Raw genomic sequence first — 22,093 nt, 5'->3', positions numbered from 1 at the left:
GTGGAATAACAGACACTGGAGACTACGGAAGGCAGGAAGATGAGAGGTGGGCAAAAGCTGAGAAGTTACCTAACAGATACAATGTCCAGTATTCAGGTGATGGGTACACTAAAGCCCAGACTCCATCACTATCCAATATATGCATGTAAGAAATCTGCACTTCTACCCACTAAATCTTTAAAAATAAAAAAGAAAGCATGCTTATATTTGTCTTTTTTACATTTAAACTTTTAGATACAAAGGGCAAATGTGCAAGTGTGTTACGTGGGAATATTGAGTAATGCTGTGGTTTGGAGTGTGGATCTCATCACCCAGGTAGTGAGCATAGTACCCAATAGGTAGTTTTTTAACCCACCCCCACTTCCTCCACCCTCTAGTAGTCCACAGTGTCAATTGTCCCCATATTGATGTCTGTGTGTGCTATAGGGTTAGCTCCCACTTATAAGTGACAACATGTAGTATTTGGTTTTCTGTTTCTGTGTTAATTTGTTTAAGATTATGATCTCCAGCTCCATCTATGTTGCTTTAAAGGATATGATCTCAGTTTTTATGTCTACATAGTATTCCATAGAGAATATGTATCATATTTTCCTTATCCAACTTAAAATTAATGGGCACCTGAGTTGACTCCATGTCTTCGCAATTGCAAATAGCATAGCGATGGACATACAAGTACATGTGCCTTTTTGGTGGAATAATTTATTTTCTTTTGAATATAAACCCAATCATGAGATTTCCAGGTCAAATGGTAGCTATGTTATAAGTTACTTGAGAAATCTCCAGACTGCTTTCCAGAGTAGCTGGATTAATTTACATTCACAGCAACAGTGTATAAGCATTTCCTTTTCTCTAAAGCCTTGCCAGTATATGTTGTTTTTTGACATTTTATAAATAGCCATTTTGACTGGTATGAGACGGTATCTAATTGTGGTTTGGATTTTCATTTCTCTGATTATTAGTAACGCCGAGCATGTTTTCATGTTTTTTGGACACTCGTGTCTTTTCAAAAGTATAGGCTCATGTCCTTTGCCCACTTTTTAATGGAATTAATTTTTGCTTGTTGATTTAAGTTCCCTATAAATTCTGGAAATTAGGCCTTTGTTAGATGCATAATTTGAGGATATCTTCTCCCATTGTGTAGGCTGTCTGTTCGCTCTGTTTATATTTTCTTTTGCTGTGCAGAAGCTCTTTAGTTTAATTAGGTCCCACTTGTCTATTTTTGGTTTTGTTGCAATTGCTTTTGGGGACTTAGTCAAACAATTTTCTGCCAAGGTCAAATAAAGAAGAGTATTTCCTAGGTTTTTTTCCAGGACTTTTAAAACTTGAGGTCTTACATTTAAATCTTTAATCCATTCTGAGTTAATTTTTGTACATGGTGAATGGTAGGAGTCCACCATCAATCTTTTGCATATGGCTAGTCAGTTATCCAGCATCATTTATTGGATAGGGGGCCCTTTCTTCATTGCTTGCTTTTGTTGGCCTTTTTGAATATTAGATGGTTTCTAGCTGTGTGTTTTTATTTCTGAGTTTTCTATTCTGTTACATTGGTCTATGCGTCTGTTTTTGTAGCAGTATCAAGCTGCTTTGGTTATGATGGCTTTATAGTAGAGTTTGAAGTTGAGTAGTGTGATGCTTTGTTCTTTTTGCTTGGGATTGCTTTGGTTCTTGGGGCTCTTTTTTGGTTCTATCTGAATTTTAGAATAGTACTTTTTCTAATTCTGTAAAGAATGACATTGGTAGTTTGATAGAAACAGCATTTGAATCTGTAAATTGCCTTGGGCAATATGGCCAGTTTTATATTGATTCTTTTTATCCATGAGCATGGAATGCTTTTCCATTTATTTTTGTCATCTCTGATTTCTTTCAGCAGTGTTCTGTATTTCTCCTTATAGCGATCTTTCATCTACTTGGCTAGCTATATTCCTGAGCATTTGTGTGTGTGTGTCTGGCTATTGTCTAAGTGGGGTTGTGTTCTTGATTTGACTCTCAGCCTGGACATTTTTGGTATATACAAATTCTTTGTACATTGATTTTTGTATCCTGAAACTTTACTAAAGTTATTTATCAGTTCTAGGAGCCTTTTGGAAGAGTCTTTAGGATTTTCTAAGTGCAGAATGATAATATCAGTGAAGATAGACGATTTGACTTATTCTTTTCTTATTTGGGTGTCTTTTGTTTCTTTCTCTTGCCTGACTGCCCTGGCAAGAACTTCTAGTACTATGTTGAATAGGAGTGGTGAAAGTGGGCATCTTTGTCTTTTTCCAGTTCTCAAAGTGAGTGGTTCGAGCTCATTCAGTAAAATGTTGGCTGTGTGTTTGTCATAAATGGCTCTTATTATTTTGAGGTGTGTTCTTTCAATGACTACTTTGTTGAGGGTTTTATCATAAAGGGATGTTGGATTTTATCAAAAGTTTTTATGCATCTATTGAGATAGCCATATGGTTTTTGCTTTTTATTTTTTTATGTGGTTAATCACATTTATCAATTTGCATATGTTAAGCCAGCCATACATTTCAGGAATAAAGCTTACTTGATCATGGTGTATTAACTTTTTGCTATTCTGCTGGATTAGATTTGTTAGTATTTCATTGAGGATTTTTGTGTCTATGTTCATAATCTATATTGGTCTGAAGTTTTCTTTTTTCATTGGGTCTCTGCCAGATATTGGTATCAGGCTGATGCTGGCTTCACAGAAAAAGTCCATCCTCCTTGATTTTTTTTGAAATCATTTCAGTAGGACTGATGTCAGTTCTTCTTCCTATATCTGGTAGAATTCAGCTGTGAATCCACTTGATCCAGGGCTATTTTGGTTGGTATGTTATTTATTACTGATTTAATTTCAAAACTTGATATTAGTATATTTGGGATTTCTATTTCTTCCTGACTTAGTCTTGGGAAGTTGGGCATTTCCAGGGATTATCCATTTCTTTTAGATTTTCTAGTTTGTGTGTTATGAACACAAAGGGGTTCATCACAGTCTTTGATGATGTTCTGCATCTCTTTTGGATCGGTTGTAATGTTACCTGTGTCATTTCTGATGGTGTATTGTGTTTATTTGAATCCCCTCTCTTTTTTTTCTTAATCTAGCTTATAGTCTATCAATCTCATTTATCCTTTCAAACAACCAGCTTTTGGTTTTGTTGAGCCTTTGTATGGATTTTCTGGTCTCAAGGTGTTTTCAGATTTTCATTATTTCTTTTCTTCTGCTAGCTTTGGAGTTGTTTGTTCTTCTTTCCTAGTTCCTTTAAGTACAAAGTTAGCTTATTAATTTCAAATCTTTCTGACTTTTTGTTGAAGGCATTGAAGGGTACTTTCCTCTTAACACAGCTTTGGCTGTATATCAGAGATTTTGGAAAGTTGTGTCCCATTTTTACTAATTTCAAAGAATTTTATTTCTGCCTTAATTTCAGTGTCCACCCAGGAGCTACTTGAAGTAAGCTGTTTAATTTCCATGTATTTGTGTAGATTGGAGAGATCTTTTGGTTTCCATTTCTATTCTTATTGCACTGTGATTAGAGGTTATGCTTGGTATAATTTCAATTTCTTTAAAATTTATTGAAGCTTGCTTTATGACTGAGCATGTGGGAGAACTTAGAATACACTGCGTGTGCAGATGAGAATAATTCTGTGGTTGTTGAGTGGAGTGTTCTGTGGATGTCTATGAAGTCCAATTTGTCAACTGTCAATCTTAATTCCAGAGATTCTTTGTTAGTTTTTTACTTATATGATCTGGCTAACACTGTCAATGGGGTGTTGAAGTCTCCACTATTATTGCGTGGTAGTCTAAGTCTGTTCATAGGCCAAGAGGAAGTTGTTTTGTGAATCTGGGTGCTCCAATGTTGAATACATTTATTGTTATCATTGTGTAATGCCATTCACTGTCCTTCTCAATTTTTATTGATTTAAAGTCTATTTTATCTGACACAAGAATAGAAATCTGGCTCTTTTTTGTTTTCTGTTTGCAGGGTAGTTCTTACTCTACCATTTTACTTTGAGCCTGTAGGTGTTATTGCATGTGAAATGGGTCTTTTGAAGACAACAGATGGTTAGATCTCATCTTTTTATTCAGGCTGCCACTCTATGTCTTTTAAATGGGGTGTTCAGCCCATGTATATTCAAATTTAGTCTTGAGGTGTATGATTTTGATGCTGTGATGTTGTTGTTAGCTGGTTGTGGTGTAGACTTGATTGTGTAGTTGTTTTATAGTGCCTGTAGCTGTGCACTTAAGTGTGCTTTTGTGGTAGTAGGTATTGTTCTTTCTAATCTATGTTTAACACTTCTGTTAAGAACCCCTTGTAAGGCTAGTCTAGTTGAAATATATTCCCTCAACATTTGCTTGTCTGAGGAAGATCTTATTTCTCTGTCATTTATGAAGCTTAGCTTGTCAGGATATGAAATTCTTGGTTGGAATTTTTTTTTTTTTTTAAGTATACTGGAAATAGATCCTCAATCTCTTCTGGTTTACAAGGTTTCTTCTGATTGGTCTGATGCTAGCCTGATCGGGAATTGCCCCTGCCGCTTCCCTCTAGCTGCTTTTACATTTTTGGCTTTTTGAGTTTGTTTTTGTTTTTTTTTCATTGAACTTGATGAATCTAATGACTATGTGCCTTGGAGATGGTCATCTTTTATAGTATGTGGTGGAGCTTCTCTATATTTCTCGAATTTGCATGTCAACCTCTCTAGCAAGATTAGGGAAAATGTTCATGAACTATAACCTCAAACACATTTTCCAAGTTGCTTATTCTCTCTCCTCTCTCAGGAATGCCAGTGAGTCATAGATTTGGTCTCTTTACATAATCCTATAGTTCTTGAAAACTTTGTTCATTTTTCTCAATTCTTCTTTATTTTTGTCTGACTGAGTTAATTTGAAGAACTGGTCTTCAAGCTCTGAGATTCTTTTCTCAGCATGATCAATTCCACTGTTAATACTTCCAACTGTATTATAAAATTCTTGTAGTTAATTTTTCACCTCAAGAAGTTCAGTTTGGGTCTCTTTTAAAAGGGCTATTTTGTCTTTTAGCTCTTTATCAATTTACTGAATTGCTTGTCTTCCTTGAACTGAGTTTCAACTTTTTCCTTGATCTCAAGGAGCTCTCTTGTTATCCAGATTCTGAATTCCATGTCTGTCACTTCAGACAATTGATTGGTTAAGAAGCATTGCTGGGGAGTTAGTGGGCTTGTCTGAGGTAAAAAGACAGTTTTTTTTTCTTTTTAAACTGCCAGAGTTCTTGTGCTTATTCTTTCTCATCTAGGAGAGCCAGTATTACTTTAACTGTGGTCTAAGTTTAGTATAGTCAGTTTACTTCACTCCTGGAAAATTTCAGAGGGATAAGGCTGCATACAGAATGTTTGTTGTTGAATTCCTGATTTTGGTTTACAGAAGGTGATAATTAGTAAAGTTATTTTTGGTGTTGTCGTTTGGGCTATTTTGCATTATTTGGCACTTGAGAGCCATGGGCAGTAGACAGGTTCTTACTCAGATGCATGGCTCCTTTGTGCATCATTGCATTTGCAGCTGTGTTCTTTAGTCTGTGCAGGAAAGATCAATATCCACAATTGCAAAGATATAGAACCAACCTAAGTGTTCACTTATCAATGAGTAGATAAAGAAAATGTGGTATGTGTATATATATATATATACACACACACACACACATACACACATACATGTATATGCAAGTATATATGTATATGACGGTATATATGTATATACGTGCATATACATATATGTATATGACTGTATATATATGTATATATGTATATACGTGCATATACATATATGTGTGTGTGTATATATATATATATATAGAGAGAGAGAGCATGAAATACTACTCAGTCATAAAAAGAAACAAAATAATGTCTTTTGCAGCAACTTAGTTGGAGCTGGAGGCCATTATTCCAAATGAAGTAACTCAGGAATGAAAAACCAAATATCATATATTCTCACATATAAGTGGGAGTTAAGCTATGAGGATGCAAAGGCATAGAGTGATATAATGAAATTTGGGGACTTGGTGGGGAATGTTGACAGGGAGGTGATGGATAAAAGACTACATATTGGATAGAGTGTACACTGATCAGGTGACATGTGCACTAAAATTTCAAAAATTACCACTAAAGAACTTACCTATGTAATCAAAAACTACCTGTACCCTAAAACTCATTGAAATAAACAAATGTGGTACATATTCATCAGGAAATACTACACAGCTGTAAAAAATGAAATAATGTCATTTGCAGCAATATGGATGAAGCTGGAGGCTAGTATCTTAAGCAAATTGACACAGAAAAAAAAATCAAACATTGCATGTTCTCATTTATAAGTGGGAGCCAAATCTTAGATACAGATGGACATAAAGATGGGAACAACACACCCTGTAGAATCCAAAAGGAGGGAGGGAGGAATGAGGACAAGAACTGAATTCCTATTGGGTACTACGTTCACTGTCTGGATGATCGGATCAATAGAAGTCAAACCCTTAGCATCATACAGTTTACCCTTGTAGCAAACCTGCACATGTACCCACTGAATCTAAAATAAAAATGGAAATTTATATATTTATACTATTTATAAATATATGCGTTTATATGCATATAAATATATAAATTTTATATAAATCTATATAAAATATTTCTTATACATAAAAGTGAATATTAACATTTATATGAGAAATATATTAATATATTAATATATTTGTATATTTGTATATTAGAAATATATTAATATATTAATATATTTCTCATATTTGTACATTAGAAATATATTAATATTACTATTACATTGTATTAATAATAATCATATTAATATTCCTCATAAAATTTTATATATGAAATATTTTTTCAATATCTCAAAATAACTTAAACAAAAGAATTCCATAAAGTGAAATATAAAATGATCTTTGTCACAATCCATCACTGTTTCCAGTGATGGATTCACCCCTAAGTGAATATTATTGACCATTCAAAGTTTGGTGTGAAGGTTTGTGGACTTTTATAATGTTTATATTTCTTTAACTTTACAATTTTTAGTCAAATGACAATATCTGCTGGGCCCTTTTACAATTTAATGCATATAAATCTTATTTAAATGGCTGTTTTATAACATGTTATGAATAAGGCATGCATTATTTAATTCAATGCTGCAAAGAATGTTTAGGTGTTCTTAAGGTAATATTGTTTCAAAGGACACAAAAATATCTGAATTATTTTTCAAACCAATTATTTTTAAACCAATTATTTCTCTATAAAATTAATTTAAAGGAGCTGTAGGTACAAAAAGGTAAAAAAAAAGAGACAGAGAAAAGTAACTTTATTATTAGATGAGGCTTTGACTCAGGTTTGAATAAACTAGAGATCTGGTCTGAATACTTTGGAAATCTCCTTTTTCTTGTGATAGTGGACTGAAGGAGTCCTGAGTCAAAGCCCCTTTATCTTGTTTCTCCTCCCTTCCCCAAGCATGATTCTTGAATATAATCGACCTCATGTCTGCACCTCCAACAGTGCCATAGGGAAAAAATTGTAAGACACAGAGTGTGAGGGTGAGAACAAGACTAACTCTCCAAGCCTCTTTGGTGGTGTTAATGCATAGAGAAAAGGAATAAAAACAATGAAACAAAGAGAAAAAGGAAAAAAGGAAGAGAGAGAGGAGGAGGAGGAGAGGGGAAAACCTGACTCCGGTGTAATTGGAATACTTTAAAATATTAATCTCTAGAAATAATTCCTTTATTCTGTCCTGAAATCTAACCAATCACATTAACTTTCAAGGTGGCAAAAATCAAAGACATGAGAAAAGAAAGGAGCACGGAGAATCCCCCTCTCCTTGAGGCTAGGTTACCATTCCAATAATTTTTAAATCCATCCCTTTCTCTCCCAACCCATAGGCTCTCCTACAAGCCAACATCATTCCTACAGCAACATCTCAAACTTTCTTTTCTCCATATTTAGTTTTTGAGAACCCATTGCCTAGCAGTGGTCTGAGGGGACTTATCCAAAATATCCTTTATGAAAATCTTTTGATAGCTTTCCATTTCCTATAGCAAAAATTTCAGCATAGACAAATCAGTCAAATGATACAGCACATTAAAAGAATGAAAGATAAAAACCACATGGTTATCTCAATAGACACAGAAAAAAACATTTGAAAAAATCTAACACTCCTGGCAAATTAGAAATAGAAGAAAATTTCCTCAATATAGTAGAGGCCATCTATGAGAAACTCACAGTTAACATAATAATCAGGGAAAACTAAAACTTTTCCTCTAAGGTCAGGAACAAGACAAGAATGCCCGCTGTCACCACTTCTTTTCAGCATGGTACTGGAAGTAGTAACGAGAGCAATTAGGCAAGAGAAAAAAAAAAAGAAAGAAACAAAAGACATCCATATCAGAGGACAAGCAGTAAAATTATCCCTGCAAATAGCAAGATCCTATACATAGAAAACAAATTCCCCAAAAAAATGTTAGAACTAATGAATAAATTCAGTAGTTTTAGGTACAACATCAACACAAAAATCAGTTGCACTTCTTTACATCATAATGACCTACCTGAAAAGCAGTCAAGAAAACTATCCAATTTAAATAGTATTTAAAAAAAAACACTTAGGAAGATATTTAACCAAGGGTTTGAAGGATCTAGACACTCAACACTATAAAATATTGATGAAACATACTGAAGACAAAAATAAAATATGTATCACATTCATGATTAATATTGTTAAAATTGCCATACTACCTACAGCAACATACAAATTCAATATAATTCCTATCAAAATTCCAATGACCTTTTTTTGAATAAATAAAAATAATTCTAAAATATGTGTGGAAACACAAAAAGCTCTAAACAGCCAAAGCACTCTTGAGAGAGAACAAAGTTGGAAGCAACACTCTTCCTGTTTTTAGATTATATTATTAAGCTATATTTATCAAACCAGCATGATACTGACATAAGAAAAGACATAGCAATCAATCGAACAGAATAAAGAGCCCATAAATAAACCCACACATTTAAGGTCAATTTATTTTAGACAAAGTTGCCTAGGAGACACAATGGAAAAAGGATAGTCTCTTCAATAAACGATGTTTGGAAAACTGGATATTCACATGCAAGAATAAAAAAAGAGAAGAAGAAATAAAAGGAAAAAAAAGGAAGGTAGGAGGAAGAAAAAGAAATTAGACTGTTTATTTTACGCCATATACAAAAATCAATTTGAAATGGATTAAAGGTTTAAGTGTAGGATCTGAAACTGTAAAACTCCTAGAAGAAAACAGGGAAAGGCTCCTTGACATTTGTCTTGGCAAAGATTTTTTGTATATACCACAAAGCACGGGCAAAAAAATAAAAAATAGACAAATGGTATGATATCAAACTAAAAAGCTTCTGCACAGCAAAGGACGCAATCAACAAGATGAAAAGGTAACCCACAGAATAGGAGAAATATTTACAAACCATAATCTAATGAGAGGTTAGTATTCAAAATATATATGGTACTCAACCTAATAGCAAACAAACAAACAAACAAAAAACACCCAAATAAAAACAGGTATATCTTCCGAATAGGCATTTTTTTCAAGAAAATTAAAAAATCAGTAACAGGTATAAATACACAAAGATGCTTGACATCACTATCAGGGAAATTCAAATCAAAACCACAATGAGATACCATCTCACTTCTGTTACAATGGCTATTACTAAAAATAGTCACCAACACCTCACAAGAGAGAACAACTGTTGCAGAGCATGTAGAGAAAGGGAAGTCCTTGTACACTGTTGGTGGGAATGTAAACTGGTGCAGACATATGAACTAACATACAGAGGTTCCTCAAAAAGTTAAAAATACAACTCACTTCTGAGTATGTGTCTGAAGGAAAGGAAATCGGTATCTTAAAGAGATAATCTGCACTTTATGTTTATTACGCCATTATTTAAACTAGCCAAGACACAGAAACAACCTATCAGTCCACAGAGGGATGACTGGATACAGAAAATGCGGAATATATATTTAATGAAATATATTCAGCCAGAGGAAGGCAGAAACCGCCACCTGTGACCTTGTGTCTGACCTGGAGGTCGTCATGCTAAGAAAAATGATCCCGACAGAGAAAGGTAAACCCAGGATTGTGTCACTTAACTGTGGACTCCAGGGAGCGCGCCCCACGCTCCGCCGCCGGCGCCGCCCACTCGCGAGTCGGGGAGGGTTCCGGAAGCGCCCCATCTGCCCCACCCTCCGGCTCCTACGTGCGTGCGCCCAGCGCGTGTCGCCCCGCAGCTGTTCGGCGCCCACCAGTACTGGGGAGGCAGAGGCTGGGCCGCAGCCCCGCGCGTGGGCGCCATCTCTCAGCAGCCGCATCTAGGCCGAGCCGGGCACCACGCGAGGCAGCGCGGAGGAGGCCCCCACGGCGGCTGGCCGAGGACACGGAGCCGGCCTCTGCGTGCCAGAGAAGAGGCTGCTCGCGCGCGCCCGGGGCCACCCGCTGCCCCACGGCTGCGCGAGGAATGAGCAGGCGCCGACCCCGGGCTCTCGGAGCAAGGGTCTCTGCTCGGCTCCTTCCCACGCTGCGGAGCGCGGGGCTCGGCCGGGCGCGGCGGGGTCGGTGGCAACTCGCTCGGGAGCAGGCACCTGGTGAACTGACCAGCCGCAGGGGCCGCCGCGCCTCCCTTGCCTGCGCGCCCAGCTTCTCGGGGGCCGCGGAGGAGGAGGAAGGTGCGTCCGGACAGGCGAGTGCGGCGGCGACAGCGACAGCGGCTGGCCGGGCTCAGGTACGTTGGACGTGACTGCCCGGAGGCAGCCTCGGAGCTCTGCCCGTCCCGGGAGCCTGCCTGGCAGCGTCGGGAAGCGCGGGCGGCTGGTCCCTTCTTGCTCCTTCCCCCAGCGCCTCTGCCTTGGCCTCCGGGAGGCCGGAAACCTTCCTCCCTGTTTTGAGATTTCGGTGGAGACCCTTATTTTTTCCACCACTAAGGTTAAGAGATTCTGGAATGGAAGGACCAGAGATGGTGAACCTTCTGCAATTCTCAGAGTTAGCCAGACTCCCTTTTGGGGCAGAAGACCACCCTTGAGCACCTCCCCAAGGGGCAGCTCCTTTGCAGTGTGACTTCTCTGATCTACCCCTAGGAATGAAGAGTCTTCTGATAACCCGATAGGGCCCTGAAAGTCAAAGGGCAAACGAGATCTCGCAGGACATAAGCTTGTGATCGTTTAAGGGGGTGGGGGGGGGGTCACTCACGTTTCTGAATGGAATTGGAGGAGCGTCAAAGAGGTGCCTGTGAAGAAGCGCAGCAGTCCTTCAAGTGGAGCAAAATTGAGTTTTCCCATTTTTGCCAAGATTTTGAAGACAGTTCAATGTATCGTGCATTTGCTGTAAGCTTCAAGAGCATAAACGATGACTACCCCAGCCCTGCTGCCCTCTCCAGACGTGGGATCCCACCTCTGAACCTGGGGCCGCCCTCCCCACATCACAGCACTACCTTGAGACTTTCTGAGAAGACACTTATTTTTAATGCCTTCATCACCCTGTGTTTGGGGGCATTCTTTTTTCTTCTAGGCTTCTCAAAACACAAACGCTTTGATCTGGGTTTAGACGATGTGTTAATTCCTCATGTAGTAGCTGGCAAAGGGGCTAAAAACCCTGAAGTCTTCCTGATCTATGCACCCAATTAACATACACACAGAGAAGAAGAAGAAGAACCTCTGAGAAATAAAGTTCGAGCTAATCATGACAAGTCCCTGGAAGAGACAAAAGAAAAATTGAGAAAGTCAAGCAGCCTGGGTGCTGTGGCTCACACCTGTAATCCCAACACTTTGGGAGGCCAAGTCAGGAGGATGGCTTTCATCTAGGAGTTTGAGACCAGCCTGGGCAACATGATGAGACCTTGTCTCCACAAAAAATCAACAACCAGCCAGGCCTGGTAGTGCCCTTTTGTAATCCCAGCTATTCTGGGGTCTAAGGTGGGAGGATTGCTTGAGCCTGGGAGGTGGAGGCTGCAGTGAGCCCTGATGGCACTGCAACACTCAGCCAGGGTGACAGAGTGAGACCACATCTCAAAAAAAGGAAAGAAAAGAAAAGTCAAGCAAGGAAATCCAAGCAGAAATTCAGATAGAGAAAAATAGGGTCCAAGAAATGAAGACAGAGAACAAGCCACTGCCACCAGTCCTTATTCCAAACTTTGTAGGCATGAATGGTGGAGACCTGGAAGACAACATAAAAAAGAAAAGGGAAAAAAATTAAAGCATGAAACATGCCTAGGATAATTATAGGACATACAGTTGGGGGCATAATGAACTCAGACCTATTAAAAGGAAAGGATGTGCCACTAACATTTGAAAATTCACAAATGGGTGCTACCGTTGTAGATGCTTTGGATACCCTTTATATCTTGGGACTTCATGCTGAATTCCTAGATGTGCAAAGATTGTTTAAAGACAACCTTGAGGTCAGTGTGAATTCAGAGATGTTTGTGTTTGACGTCAACATTCAGTTTATTGAAGGCCTACTTGCAGCATATCACCTTTCAGGAAAGGAGATATTCAAGATTAAAGCTGTGCAACTGGCTAAGAAATTCCTTCCTGCCTTTCACACATGTACTGGGATTCCCTGGACAATGGTACATTTGCAGAGTGGAGTAGGGTGCAGCTGAAGCTAGGGGCCTGCATGTAGCAGCATTCTGGCTGAATCTGGTACACTGCACATGGAGTTCATCCACCTCAGCTACTTGACAGAAGACCTGGTTTACTACAACAAGGTCATGTACATGCGGAAACTGCTTCAGAAAATGGATTGTCCAAACGGTCTTTATCCAAATTAAACCCAAGAACAGGGTGCTGGGGTCGGTATCACACATCATTTGGTGATCGGGAGACAGTTTTTATGACTACTTACTGAGAGCACGTTTGATGTCAGATAAAACAGACCATGAATGGAGAAAGATGTGTGGTGATGCTCTTGAGGCTGCAAAAAAACAAGAACTCCCATGGATGTCTTAATCTTTAGTAAAGAATGGATCAGTGGGCACTTGGAAAACAAGATGGGGCATCTGGCCTGCTTTGCTGGGGTAATGTTTGCACTAGGAGAAGATGGTTCCAGAACAGATAAGTCTGTCATTATTTAGAGCTGGGGTGGAAATTGCATATACATGTCATGAGTCATATGACAGACTGCATTAAAGCTAGGTCCTGAGTCAGTCAAGTTTGATGGTGCAGTGGAGGTTGTGGCTGTCAGGCTGAAAAGTATTATATCCTGTGTCCAGAAGTAATTGAAACCGTTGGTACCTACGGTGATTCTCTCACAATCCAAAATACAGGCAGTGGGGCAGGGAACAGCACTGGCCATTGAAAAGTATTGCTGAGTCAGTGGTGGATTTTCTGGAGTCAAAGATGTACATTTCTCTACTCCTACACATGGTGATGTAGAGCAGGGTGTCTTTCTTGCTGAAACACTTAAAATATTTGTATGTGCTGTTCTCCAGTGGTGACCTTTTACCTTTAGACTACTAGGTGTTTAATACAGAGGCTCACCCTCTGCCTGTGTTACATTTAGCCAACACCACACTTTCAGGTAATTCTGCTGTTGGATAAAAGCAGTTCCGAGGACCAGGACCAGTCTCACCTGTTTTGTTTTACGTGGACCACTATAGAATGTAGTCTGAAAACCTAGACCTCTAAGTCAACATGATAGTGGTCATATAAGAATGATGTGTGTTACAGCAAAGATCGCAATTACTTTTACACCACCAAGTACTCTACAAACCATATATATTTTAAATATATGTATATATATATATATATAACTATATAAAACTCTATATAACTCTATGTATATAGAGAGTTATATAGAGAGTTTTATATTTAGAGAGAGTTACATATATTTATACACACACACACACACACACACACACACACACACACACACACACACACACACACATATATATGGTTTGTAGAGCTCTGAAGTCTGGAGGCTAGACTTCCTAAGAGAAAGCCAAGAATATAGAGCACATTGCAGGAGTTAAGAATGGCCTTTGGAACCTATTATATATTCCTACAGTGGAGCAACTGTCAAATATTCCACATTGTCTCATTTTTCTCCATTTTAGTAATGTAATGAACTAAGATAAAGAAAAAATATAGTATAACTGCATCAGTGACAAGAAGACTCAAAAAACAAACAGAAGTGCCAATCCATGTCTGAATTTTCAAGTTCCCTATTGGATGACCAGACTGGCAACCATTTCAAATCCTGTTTAATCGGTTTAAATAAAATCTATTTCATTTAAATTTCATGGTTAAGTTTAGTTTCTTCTAGGGGCATGATCTCACAAAAAATACTCTTTAAGTCTTTGTCTTCATATGAAATCATTAAAACTGCTATTTGTCATAACCACTACCTATAAGCCTGAGTTTGAGACTTAATTCAGGTGGTTCAGTCAGTGGTGGTAGCATGACAAAAAGTGCGGAAAAATGCCACAGTTTGTTGCCTTGAAACCTGTTCTAAAAGAAATTCTTGGTTTTGCTGGTAGGAGATTATTTTTCTGAACTAATAAATCTACCGAGCAAGTTTTATCCACTTAAATCTCATAATAACGTTAGGAGAGTCATCCAACTCACAACTTTATTTATGTGACTTGGCAAAATTCACGATACTATTATGTAGCTCTGAATTTGTCTTGATAAGCTAAATTACTTTTACAACTCATTAAAGCAAAAACAAAACACAGTGCAACTTTCTTAAATATTCTATCTGGGATGATATCCTTTATTATCTTATCAGGTGAGTGTGCCATTCACAAATATTTTATGTTTTTAAAATTTTTTCTATTGATCTTTATAGAAATCAAAATAATTAGAATAGCTTCAAAATCGTTTTCAGTGATAAAAGTGTTGAAGTAAGTATCTCAGGGATTTTCTCTTACCATCAGTAGGTTTTGCATTGTTATTTCTTTTTAAAGAAATTACTAATTCTTTATATTTTGGCAAAAAAAATTATCAGTAACTATGGTGTAAGATAAATATCTAATGCTCACGCATTTTCTGTCACATAAACTGAAGGGACTTTTTATTGTTTAATTTAGACATCGTCCATTGACATTAATAAAATTGGAAACAGTATAACTAGTATGATATTTACTCTGAATTTAAAGATTTTGTCTCATTAAACAAAGTTTAATGAGACAAAAAAGTTCATACAAGAAATCCAACTTGGAATTCTGAAGGCTTATTTCCGTATTTGATAACATTTCTTTTCAACTTAGCTTTTAGATTTAAGTTGGGAAAAGATTTAATGAATGAATACAATTAAATATTTTCCAAGGTTGATCATCTCAGACCACAAATTATTAAACAGTTCTCACAGCCCAGCCAATGATGCATAAATGACAACCACTACAAAAGTTTTTAGTAAACATAGAAAATAAGGATGTAGAGCCAGTTACAATAAAGTCTTTAAGAGAGTCAAATTTTAGGACATATTTTGAGATTGTAATTTTTTTACTACTTAAACCTTTAAATTGTTTAAATGATAAAGGTAGATGACCATAACTTTAGAAGAGAAAAGGGAAAGTACTTGGTTCTCAAAAAAGCCTTGCTAAAAATAGCACAAGCCCACTTAGGAATCACTAAAAAAAAAAAAGGCAAGAAAGTTTAATTGGCAAAGACCCAGAGAAGCTGTGCAGATGGCAATGAAGTCTCCAAACTCTTAATTTGTTTATAAGAATGCAGAGTAAAGAGGCCTTCTTGGTTTCCCAGGAAATTCTCAAGAGATGAGGAGATACAACCTGTATCTCCAACGGCTCTCTTTGTATTACTCAGATGACTGGAGTTAAGAGAAGGTAGAGAAGTATTCAAGCAGAGTCAGTTCATAAGCGAAGAATTTGAGAGGGTTTTCTACACCTCTCCCTACGCTCCCTACCTTCTGTGGAATGACAAGACTGGACCTACAACAGTACTTTTTTTTTTTTTTTTTTTGAGACAGAGTTTCGCTCTGTCACCCAGGCTGGAGTGCAGTGGCGCAATCTCGGCTCACTGCAACCTCCGCCTCCCGGGTTCAAGCAGTTCTCCTGCTTCAGCCTCCTGAGTACCTGGGATTACAGGTGTGTGCCGCCATGCCTGGCTAATATTTGTATTTTTAGTATACACAGTGTTTCACCATGTTGGTCAGGCTGGTCGTGAACTCCTGACTTTGTGATCCGCCTACCTCGGCCTCCCAGAATGCTGGGATTACGGGCATGAGACACTGCGCCCGGCCCTCCATTTTTTTTTTTTTTTTCCCTTCTCTGAATACCAAAGACAATTCAGGCCAGCTGCAAGTGACTTGCCAGTGTTATGTTTTATTTTTGTTACAGATTTTTAACCCGTTTCCCATTTAGGAAAAAATAAAGTGCATCTTGCTGCCAGCACGGTATTCTTGGGGCAAACAGAAAATAGGTAAATTTCCTCCAAGATCAATTTTTATCTTATATTCTGCTTAGTACCCATACTTTCTTCTCTTTTTTACAGCTTTTTGCATTTTGTAGACCTTATTACTCTGGTAAAATACTGCATTTATCAGACCTTCCGCAAATAGCCCAGAAATGCTCCTCAAAAAGTTGACACCTCACATTGTGACTTTGGCACAAATATGCAGAATAGATGGATTGGTTCGTGCATAACAGGAAAAAAATAGGAATGTTAAACACCCCTCTACCTTCTACATTTATTTATCTTTATTTTAAAATAAAACTTTTTGGGTTAAGCCAGTTTTTTTTTTTAATTCAACTTGTATTAAGTTGTCAAAACCAAGAGAATGAGACCCTACCTGAAAAGAAGTCTCAGCGCAGAAAAACAAGTCCCCCATCAGGTGGTTCTTACCTGCCGGTGGACTGTGTGTTTTACTTCTAACACGACTTATTCCCAGCTTCAAGCAGATGGTTATATATAAAAGTCCAACCTGGGTATTGAAAGAATGCATTCTTTTTGTGGAGTATTGACTCTGATTCTCTATGATGTCATCTTGTGAACCCAGGGCTTTACTTAGTAGATTTTAACCAAGGAGTTTGAAATCTTGATTATCATCCTCTCATCTGCTCCACTCTCTGTCAAAGTCTTTGTCAAAACTCCAAGTTTGTTGATAAAAGATTGTGCTTTCAGTTCTCATTATAATGCAGTTTCTCCTTAAGCCCGTATTTCTTTGAGTACATGAGTAAATGAGAGAATGAGTGAACAAACATTTATGAAGTATGTAATATGTGCCAAGCACTGTGCCTGGCACCTTAAAGCATTAGAAAGTTTTATGTGATTCCAGTGGCACTTTCTGTATGAGAGCAGTGTATACAATTTTACATGTTTTTCAATATGAATCATGTTACAGCATTTTAAATTTTATATTTCATATAAAGAGAAAAGGTTTATAATACATTTTAAATAATGTGTACTATGTAGTACTAACTATAATTGTGGTTAAAGTCTTGAAAAATGTCACAGAAGTGCTTGATTTTTGATGCAACTTTGACTAAAATATTTACTTTAGAAATAAAAACATTTTTAGTTTGCTATATCACTTCAATTATATTATTAAAATCAATGTTTAATAGAAGTGCTGCTTAGTTTAAATTCAAAAAGCTTTTGTCACATCATTGGTGGGTAAAACTTGAAGTTGTAAATTGTCTTTGGTAGGGGTCCTACTAACAGTCCCATGCTGTTAAATATAAAGAAAAATATAATAAAATATTTCTAGGTTTCAAAAAGCAGTTTCTAGTAATAGGATTTTAAGTTCTTATTTTTTTTTAGATTTCCTTACACTCAAATTGGATAGCTCCTCTCTCTCTCTCTCTCTCTCTCTCTCTCTCTCTCTCTCTCTCCCTCTCCCTCTCCCTCTTCCCTTTCTCTTTCTCTATACCTATCTGTATAATTTTTTAGTTATACACAAAAATTTTTAATACCATTTTTTATTTAACAAACACAGTTGGTAACTAGTTTTGGCCGCACAAATTCTAAGCAGAATGTTTGAGTAACCTGATATGGTTGGGATATTTCTCTCCTCCAGATCTCATGTTGAAATGTGATCCCCAGTGTCAGAGGGGTGAGGCCTGGTGGAAGGTGTTTGAGTGATGGTATGGATCCCTCATGAATGGCTCGGTGCTGCCTTCCCTATGGTAATGAGCAAGTCCCTGCTCTGTTAGTTCACATGAGAGCTGGTGGCTTAAAGGAGCATGGCATCTCTCTGGCTCCCTCTCTTACCGTGTGACAAACCTGTTCCCTTTTGCCATCTGCCATGAGTGGGAGCTTCCTGAGGTCCTGGCCTAAAGCAGATAGTGGCACTATGCTTGTATAGCCTGCAGAACTGTGAGGTAAATTAACCTATTTTAAAAATAGGGGCTGAGCCTGGTGGCTCATGCCTGTAATCCCAGCACTTTGGGAGGCCTAGGCAGGCAGATCACTTGAGGTCAGGAGTTTGAGCCTGGCCAATATTGTGAAATCCCGCCTCTACTAAAAATACAAAAATTAACCAGACATGGTGGCGTGCTCCTGTAGTTCCAGCAAATGGGAGACTGAGGTGGGAGAATCGCTTGAACCTGGAAGGTGGCAGTTACGTGAGCCAAAATTGTGCCACTGTATACCAGTGGTGATAGTGAGACCCTGTCTTGGAAAAACAATAAATCAATAAAAATAAAATAAATTACCCAGTCCGAAGTATTCCTTTATAGCAACACAATATTGACTAATACAAACCACATATGATATGGAAATATATCAATCCACTTACTCTGGCTCAAGAACATTGGTGAAGATGATTTTGTGTTACTTCAGCTCATTCAGATTATGATGAAGATGCTCTTTTTAATTTACAACTAGTCAGAAAGCTTTTCTGCAAAGGGCAGATAATAAATATTTTAGGTTATATGAGCTATACAGTCTTTCTTCTTACTCAGTTCTGCTGTTGAAGTGTGAAAACAGATACAGATATTATGTAAATGAATGAGTATAGCTGTGTTCCGATAAAGCTTTATTTACATAAACAGGTAAAGGACTGCATTTGACCCACAGGTCATAATTTTTACCCCAATCCCAAGATTAAGTAGTGTAAAACCCTTTAGCCTTCTTTCTGCCTCTTTTCTCTGTGCTGTAATTTACATAATTCATTTTAAAGCAAAAGAAGTGACTGTGGAATATAAAACAATAAAATTGAGTTCTTAGAAATAAAGTAGAATGGTAGTTGATAAGGTCTAGGGGCGGGTCAAATTGGGAGATGTAGGCCAAAGTATACAAACTTACCATTCTAAGATAAGTAAGTTCTGAGAATATAATGTAAAGCATGGTGACTACAGTTAATAATACTAAATTATATACTTTGAAATTTTCTAAGAGTAGACCTTAAGCATTCTCATCAAAATGAAAGAAAAAAATTAAGTCCTTGAAGTAGTGAATATGATAATTAACTTGACTGCAGCAGTCAGTTCACAATATATATTTACTTCAAATCATCATGTTGTACATTTTAAATATACGCAATTTTATTTGTCTTATTTCTTTGCCTCAATAAAGCTAAATAAAAATAATTGTGATAAATCACATTAACAGAATAAAGAATGAAAATCGTGATTTTTTTCAAGATGGCTTACTAGAGACATCAGATACCAGTTCTCCTTAGAAAGAAGATTTAACCTTACAGGTGAATAATCATGGCCCAAGTGGACTGCTGAGGGAAAAGTGTCGGAAACCTTTGGAGAACCCACAGGAAGAAGTTGGGGGTACAGGAAAAAAAAAGGGCATAAATGTCTGGCAGAGACTGACCCATGAGGAACTTGGAGTCCCATGGAAAGTGTAGATGGGAGTGTGTCTTTTTATCCTCACTCTTGTACCCAACTCATTGCCACCAATTTGTCTGAGAGCCCCTCTGCCCTTGCAAACGCAGGCACCACTGTTGGCAGTGATTGGGGAACATCTGGAGGGCAGAGCACTGGGTGGTGAGTTCACATAGGTTTGCTTGCTCTCCCCCTCAAACCCGAGCTGAGGTGGTGAGCACCATACAGACTGTACATCTGTTTGGGGCCTCTATTCGGTCCAGATAATTTTAGCCCTTGTGTCTCTCTGCATGACTATATCCCACACAAACATTTCCCAGAACCTCTTCTGCCTACGGCAACCACAGAGAACCAGCAGGACCTTGGGGAGCTGCAAGATCCTTAGAGACCTAGCCTTTGATACAGGCCTTCACTAGGGAAGGGGGATTGTAGTCCACCAGAGCACATTTTGGGACAAAGGAAACTGGAATGCACATTCTTCCCTGATGGAGAGCCCCCCTCCCCACTTATAACCAGAAAATGGCTGTATTTCTCCTAGCAGAGACACAGGTGCAATGCTGATCTTTGAAAATTAGGAGTATTGTCTTGTCCCAAAGGACAGGTGGTACCATTGGCTGGGAACTGAAATGGAAAAGGCATCTTTTGCTGTCTCCATCACTGCTGCAGACACAATCATGACGTTTTCTGCTGGGGGTTTGTGTGGATGCACTTGGAAACAGGCTTTTCAGTACACTTAGGGCAGCTGCACCCCAGTTGAAAGTGTCCCCACCAACCTGGACTTGCTCAAAGGGTGGGACTTATCTCTTCCTCCCCATACAAAGCAGCAGCATTTCTGCACCATAGAATGAACCAGCTACAGAGTATAGACCAGCTACAGCTGTCTATTTCAAGCTGTGGGAAGAGGTTTTTTCCAGAGGCCCTTTCAGCTGTAGCCACAGGATGAATGTTTTCTACGAAACCTAGTTGCATTGCAGCGTGGAGATAAAGGACATTGTCTATCTGAACTGCAGGTTGTGAGCCCTTGAACAGGAGTAGATAGGGATGTAAGTTACATCCCTAGGATGAGGAGCTAGTGCAACACCCTTCACACCTCTACCACTTGGCAGAGACCTGTGTGCATCCCACAGTGAGCTTTCCCACCACCCCCTTCAGGGGAGGGGCTTTTGCTAGTCATCAAATTGTCAAAACAACAAGCCAGTGTCTGCTAGTAAGTGCCAACTACTAAACCGTAAACTGAACTGCATAACCATATACAAAACCTGTTGGCAGAAGGGCATGATACTAGGGAATGAGATAATCTTCCTGAGGCTTCTGCACTCCCAGCCCTGCAAAAGATAGTGAGTCAAATTATATGCCCAATATATTGGTACAACAATCAGCATTTGAGAAAGCCACTGCACAAAAACTATCTATAACCAAGAAACTCATCTAGAGCCTTAGCCCCCTGAAGGCACCCAGAATTGAAGCCAAATGATTACACACAACATATAATCACACCCCCAAAAGAGAAAAGAATTGAAAATTGAAAATGTTCTTCAAATGAAAGCAAATAGAAAATAACTAAGTGACAGCTTCTATAAATGAGAAATAATGTGAGAACTTCAGCAGTACAGAAAGACAGAGTGTTTTGACACCCACAAAGGATCACAGCAGTTCTGAAGCAATGGATTCTAACAAATAAAACTAAAGTGACACATAAAAAAAAATTCAAATTTTTTTTATTGTAAGGAAGCTCAATGAGATCCAAGAGAAAGTTGAAAACCAACATAAAGAAATCAGAATAACAATTAAGGATATTAATACAAAATTTACTAAAGAGATATTTAAAAAAGAAACAGAACTTCTGGAAGTGAAAAATTCATTGAAGGAATTATAAAATGTAGTTGAAGATTTTAACAATAAACCAGACAAGCAGAAGGGAGAATTTCAGACCTGAAAGCCCAGTCCTTTGAATTAACCCAGTCATAAGAAAATTAGGAAAAAAAGAATATAAAAAATTTAAAAAGCCCTCAAGAAATGTGGGATTATGTAAAGTAATCAAACCTACAAGCTATGGGCATTTCTGAGTGAGAAGAAGAAACAGTAAAAAGCATGGGAAATGTATCTGATTAGTTAACTCAAGAAACTTTTCTGATCTAGATACAGAATTAGACATTCAGATATAAGAAGTGCAAATAACACCTGAAAGATTTTCTGCAAGATGGATCTCACCAGGGCATATATTCATCAGACAAACCAAAGTTAACATAAAGGAACAAATGCTGAAATCAGCTAGAGAGAAGTATCAAAGCACCTATAAAGACTGTCTCATCAGAATGACAGTGGA

At 38.0% G+C, this 22,093-nt stretch overlaps 1 pseudogene; it reads left to right on the top strand.

Moving 5' to 3' along the window:
- On the top strand, window positions 11,177-13,637 carry MAN1A2P1 (mannosidase alpha class 1A member 2 pseudogene 1; annotated as a pseudogene).
- The last annotated feature ends 8,456 nt before the right edge of the window (window positions 13,638-22,093 follow it).

The sequence above is a fragment of the Homo sapiens genome, chromosome 19 (genome assembly GCF_000001405.40).
Source record: "Homo sapiens chromosome 19, GRCh38.p14 Primary Assembly".
Lineage (NCBI taxonomy): Eukaryota > Metazoa > Chordata > Mammalia > Primates > Hominidae > Homo > Homo sapiens.
Note: the sequence above shows the minus strand (reverse complement) of the source record. Positions and strands in the feature narration are given on the sequence as shown.